Genomic DNA, 6,298 nt, shown 5'->3' with positions numbered 1-6,298 from the left:
TCCGTCTCTATAAAAAAAAAATACAGGCCAGGCGCGGTGGCACACGCCTGTAATCCCAGCACTTAGGGAGGCCGGGGGGGTGGGGGCGCGGATCACAAGGTCAGGAGTTGGAGACCAGCCTGGCCAATATGGTGAAACACCCGTCTCTACTAAAAATACAAAAATTAGCCGGGTGTGGTAGCGCGCGCCTGTAGTCCCAGCTACTCGGAGACTGAGGCAGAAGAATCGCTTGAACCCGGTAGGCAGAGGTTGCAGTGAGCCTAGATCTCGCCACTGCACTCCAGCCTGGATGACAGAGCGAGACTCTGTCTCAAAAAAAACAAAACAAAAATTAGCCAGGATGATGGCGCACGCCTGTGGTCCCAGCTACTCGGGAGGCTGAGGTGGGGGAACTGCTTGAGCTGCGATGGTGCCACTGCACTCCAGCCTGGGCAACAAAGCAAGAAAAAAAAAAAAAGACTCTGGGATTCTCTCAGATCTAGCTTCTTTTTAGAAAGTTCCCAAGTAGTTCTGATACACACTCACATTTAAGAACCCCTAAGGCCGGGCACAGTGGCTCACGCCTGTAATCCCAGCACTTTGGAAGGCAGAGGTGGGAGAATTGATTGAGCCCAGGAGGTCAATACTGGCCTGGACAACGTAGTGAGACCCGCCCCCTATTATTGAAAAAAAAAGGACAGACTCAGCAGAGCTTAAGTGACTGATGGAATGTGCTGAGTGAAGGGTTAGGTGGAAATGTGGAGGATAACTCTCAGGGTTCTCTTTTCCTTTTTTTTTGAGACTGGGTTTTGCTCTTCATCCAGGCTGGAGTGCAGTGGTGCTATCTTTGGCTCACTCCAACCTTGACCTCCCCTCCCACCTCAGCCTCCTGAGCTGCTCTCCCAGGGTTCTGACTTGGACAAAAGTGCAGCTGTGCACAAAGGTGAAGAGCTCATGAAGACAGGGAACGATCTGGAGTTCAGATTAGGACACAGAGTTGGAATGGAGGAAAAAGAGAAAAAGACTTTCTTCATCAAAGTGGCCCTTGAAACATTACTTATGAAGGGCTGTTGGAGGAAGGTTGGAATGGAAAAACTCACTGGTTTACTTGTTCTTTGCCAGGGATCCTGCAGGCCAAACACAGCTCACCACCTGTTTTCATATGGTCTGTGAGCTAGAATGGTTTTCTCATTTGTAAATGGTTGGGAAAAAAATAACATTTCATGACACCTGAAAATCATATGCAATTCATATCCCATTTTCCGTAACTCTTATTGGAACACAGTCACGCCCATTTTTTAACATATGATCTATGGCTGCTTAGTTGAGGCTAGGCACGGTGGCTCATGCCTGTAATCCCAGCACTTTGGGAGGCCAAAGCAGGCAGATTACCCGAGGTCAGGAGTTCGAGACCAGCCTGGCTAACATGGTGAAACCCCATCTCTACTAAAAATACAAAAACTTAGCCGGGCCTGGTGGCGGGCGCCTGTAGTCCCAGCTACTTGGGAGGCTGAGGCAGGAGAATCGCTTGAACCCAGGAGGCAGAGGTTGCAGTGAGTCAAGATCATGCCATTGCACTCCAGCCTGGGTGACAAGAGCAAAACTCCATCTCAAAAACAAACAAAAAAAAACCCCAAACAAACAACAACAAAAAAAACACAGAGCAGAGTTGAGTAGCTACCACAGAGACTGCATGGTCCTCCAAACCTAAAATATTTACTATTTTACGGGAAAAGTTTGCTGACCTCTGAATCAATGGGATGTCTAGAAACCATTTAAAATACTTGATTTCAGCCTATGAAGCTATAATCTTAAGAAAATGAAAAAGGGTATAGATTGAGGTCTACTCCAAGAAGTCTATAAACATTTTTAAAAGTTGGAGAATAGTGTTAAGACAAATCATCCAGGCAGGGCGTGGTGGCTTACGCCTATAATCTCAGCAATTTGGGAGGCCAAGGTGGGCATATCACCTGAGGTTGGGAGTCCAAGACCAGCCTGACCAACATGGAGAAACCCAGTCTCTACTAAAAATACAAAATTAGGCTGGGCGCAGTGACTCACGCCTGTAATCCCAGCACTTTGGGAGGCCAAGGTGGGTGGATCACCTGAGGTCGGGAGTTCGAGACCAGCCTGACCAACATGGAGAAACCCCCGTCTCTACTAAAAATACAAGATTAGCTGGGCTTGGTGGCGCATGCCTGTAATCCCAGCTACTCGGGAGGCTAAGGCAGGAGAATTGCTTGAACCCGGGAGGCCGAGGTTGCGGTGAGCTGAGATTGTGGCATTGCACTCCAGCCTGGGCAACAAGAGCAAAACTCCGTCTCAAAAAAAAAAAAAAAAAAAAAAAGGAAAAATCCAAAAATTGGAAGTCCAAGAGTGTAGTGTGTCCTCTCATTGTCACACTGGGGCATCGTTTCAGAAGCCCTCCCAAGGATTATTTACCCACAAGAATACACAGTTGTTTGATTTTGCTATTCACTAGTAAGGTAAATAGACTGAAATTACAAGGAGATATTGTCCAGGAGAGATGAAAGACATGTATATCCAGTAGAAAAACTAACCTCAAAGGGTATAATTTTTGTCATGTAGGACATCCATTGCATTTTGCATCTAACCTAGTAATCATATGCTAACATTCTTCTTTATTGTATTTTATTTTATTTGAGACTTGCTCTGTCACCCAGGCTGAAGTACAATGGCGCGATCTCAGCTCACTGCAACCTCTGCCTCCTAGGTTCAAGTGATTCTCCTGCCTCAGCCTCCCGAGTAGCTGAGATTACAGGTGCACACCACCATGCCCAGCTAGTTTTTTTGTATTTTTAGTAGAGACAGGGTTTCACTATGTTAGCCAGGCTGGTCTCGAACTCCTGACCTCAGGTGATCCGCCCACCTCGGCCTCCCAAAGTGCTAGGATTACAGGCATGAGCCACTGCACCTGGCCTAACGTTCCTCTTTAAATGCTCGTCCTGTCCAGTTCCTCATGTGCATTACCACCTTACCAAGCGGAAATCCCCTCACTGATGAGTTAAAGATCTTTTTTTTTTTTTTTTTTTTTTTGAGACAAGGTCTCACTATGCCCCCAGGCCGGACTGCAAAGATGCAAGCAGGGCTCGAATTCCTGGGCTCAAATGACCCTCCCGCCTCAGCCTCCCAAGTAGGGGGTACTACAGGCAAGGGCCACCACAACCAGCTAATTTTATTTTTTTTTAATTTTTAGTAGTGAGGAGGTTTCACTATGTTGCCCAGGCTGGTCTCAAACTCCTGAGCTCAAGTGATCCTCTCAGGCTCACTTTGGGAGCTCAGCCTCCCAAAGTGCTGGGATTACAGGCATGAGCCACCGCACCCGGCCTAATAAATCTTTGTTACGTGTTCATTCTATATTTAGACGTAGGTTTTAACTTTTTGAAAAGTACACTTTGACAAAACATATGATTTTTAAAAATGCTTTAAACTTATGCATGTATATGTACATCTAGATGTATGAAGTTACCGTTACATAAAGAAGGGACCTAAAAGATGCCAAGTCACCAAACTGGGGAAGGGGGTACTTCAGTGGTGGGGATGCAGCAGGGAGACTGTTACATTTTCCTCTGCATGCTTGTGTATTATGCAAATATTTTACAAGAACATATTCATATATACATACATACATATATGTGTGTGTATATATATATATATATATTTTTTTTTTTTTTTTTTTCTTGAGATGGAGTTTTGATCTTGTTGCCCAGGCTGCAGTGCAATGGCACAATCTCGGCTCACCGCAACCTCCACCTCCTAGGTTCAAGCGATTCTCCTGCCTCAGCCTCCCGAGTAGCTGGGATTACAGGCATGCGCCTCCATGCCCGGCTAATTTTGTTTTTGTTCTTGTTTTTTTTTGAGACACAGTCTTGGTCTGTCGCCCAGGCTGGAGTGCAGTGGCTCGATCTTGGCTCAGTGTAACCTCTGCCTCCTGGGTTCAAGTGATTCTCCTGCCTCAGCCTCCCAAGTAGCTGGGATTACAGGCATGCACCACCATACCCAGCTAATTTTTGTATTTTAGTAGAGACGGGGTTTCACCATGTTGGTCAGGCTGGTCTTGAACTCCCAACCTCGTGATCCGCCCGCCTCAGCCTCCCAAAGTGCTGGGATTACAAGCGTGAGCCACTGCGCCCAGCTTAATTTTATATTTTTAGTAGAGACAGGGTTTCTCCATGTTGTTCAGACTGGTCTCAAACTCCCGTCCTCAGGTCATTTGCCTGCCTCAGCCTCCCAAAGTGCTGGGATTACAGGTGTGAGCCACCGCACCCAGCCCATATTCATATATTACATGTATATAATTTTTAAAAATTAGGAGCTAGGGGTAGGCACAGTGGCTCACACCTCTAATCCCAGTACTTTGGGAGGCCAAAGAGAGTGGATCACCTGAGGTCAGGAGTTCAAGAGCAGCCTGGCCAACATAGTGAAATACCATGTCTACTGAAAATACAAAAATTAGCTGGGTATGGTGGCAGGCGCCTGTAATCCTGGCTACTTGGGAGACTGAGGCATGAGAATCACTTGAACCCGGGAGGCGGAGGTTGCAGTGGGCCGAGATCATGCCACTGCACTCCAGTCTGCGCGATAGAGTGAGACTCTGTCTCAAAAATAAAATAAAATTAGGAGCTAGGAACTTTAATGTATAAAAGTTCATTTGTATTCAAATGAGGACTGAGGTCCAAACAATTGTTTCAACAGTGGGACCACAGCTGGGCCTTGGGGCATTACCCCTTTCATGTGGTTAGGATGGGGCTCTGAAGAACTATTGTGCTTGTCTGGAGACTGGGCAGCAAGCACAGATGGTGGGTGCAGGCTCTAATCCCACTGCTGGGAGGCAGCCTGTGGGTCTTGGGCTGACCTGGGACCTAACTTTTGGGGCAAACAGTTGGGCAGGAGGCAGTGGGGTGGCTGAGTTCGAAATCAAGTCCTCTCCTCCTCCCTCCTCTTCTCCTGCTTCAATCCCTGGGAGCTTTCATGTCACTCCACACCATTTCTGGCTGTTTTATTGGCATATTTTGTTGACGGCCCTGGAGTTCTCACCTTTTTCTTTTCTTTTCTTTTTTTCTCTGTCACCCAGCTTGGAGTACAGTGGCATGATCATAGTTCACTGCAGCCTGGGACTCCTGGGGTCCAGCAATCCTCCCATCTCAGCCTCCTGAGTAGCTGGGACTAAAGGCACACACCACCACACTCAGCAAATTTTTTTTTTTTTTTTTTTAGAGATGGGGTCTTGCTGGCCAGGAGCGGTGGCTCACACCTGTAATCCCAGCACTTTGGGAGGCCAAGGCAGGCGGATCACCTGAGGTTGGGAGTTCAAGACCAGCCTGACCAACATGGAGAAACCCTGTCTCTACTAAAAATACAAAATTAGCTGTGCGTGGTGGCACATGCCTGTAATCCTACTTGGGAGGCTGAGGTAGGAGAATCGCTTGAATCCAGGAGGCGGAGGTTGCGGTGAGCCGAGATCGCGCCATCGCACTCCAGCCTGGGCAACAAGAGTGAAACTACATCTCAAAAAAGAGAGAGATGGGGTCTTGCTGTCTCCCAAGCTGGTCTTGAACTCCTGGCCCAAGACAGTCCTCCCACCTGGGCCTCTGAAAGTGCTGGGGTTGCAGGTGTGAGCTACCGCACCCAGCCTAGTTCTCATCTCTCACATGCATGGAGGAGATTTCTTCCTCCTGGCTTGCATGTGACCCTGCTCACTCAGCACAGCCTCAGGTAGTATCGGATCTTCGTTTCAGTATTGACTCTCTCCCTCACTGGCTATAACAGCTTGAGGAAGACCATCCTCCCTCTGCCTCAGACTCAAGTGTCAAATAGGACTTATGCCACCAGCCCCAGCTGTCTCATGGGACTCTTAGACTGACAGAGGTGAAAATGCTCCAAGCACCTGAAGGTGGCGGAGCAGAAAGCTGACCAGCATCAGGTCCTGTAAGAACATCTTGGGAGAGAATGGAAAAGCCAGGTGCCTTCTGGGCCACACCTGGGAAGGGCACGGGGAAGGTCCCGGGACAGCTCTGAAGAATCTGTTGATCCTTCCCTTCTCGTAATTCCTCTCCACCAGAGGGTAGAGCAAATACAGGCCTCCCCTCACCTGGGAATGCCTTCCAGCTATGCAGCTGGGTCCTCATCTCTCATCTGCCTAAGACTTGCTGTAAATCTAGACCACGCCCCTCAACTTTTCTGAGCCCCAGTTCTTCATCTGTAGACTGTGTTCACACTGCCTCCGTTTTGGGAAACTTGAGACATGCATAAAAGCGTCTAGAGTGAGTATGGGATAACTAGGGCTGCTGCCCCTTCG

The 6,298-nt window shown here is 48.0% G+C and overlaps 1 annotated feature.

Moving 5' to 3' along the window:
- Window positions 5,506-5,678: a silencer, noted in NCBI's record as "fragment chr11:64857368-64857540 (GRCh37/hg19 assembly coordinates)". NCBI's record gives its function as "represses an EF-1alpha promoter that drives an FKBP-Casp9 reporter gene in an ReSE screen in phorbol 12-myristate 13-acetate-treated (for megakaryocytic differentiation) K562 erythroleukemia cells {active_cell/tissue: K562(+PMA)}" and the evidence as "EXISTENCE:reporter gene assay evidence [ECO:0000049][PMID:32094911]".

Source organism: Homo sapiens, chromosome 11 (genome assembly GCF_000001405.40).
Source record: "Homo sapiens chromosome 11, GRCh38.p14 Primary Assembly".
In the NCBI taxonomy this organism is placed as follows: domain Eukaryota; kingdom Metazoa; phylum Chordata; class Mammalia; order Primates; family Hominidae; genus Homo; species Homo sapiens.
Note: the sequence above shows the minus strand (reverse complement) of the source record. Positions and strands in the feature narration are given on the sequence as shown.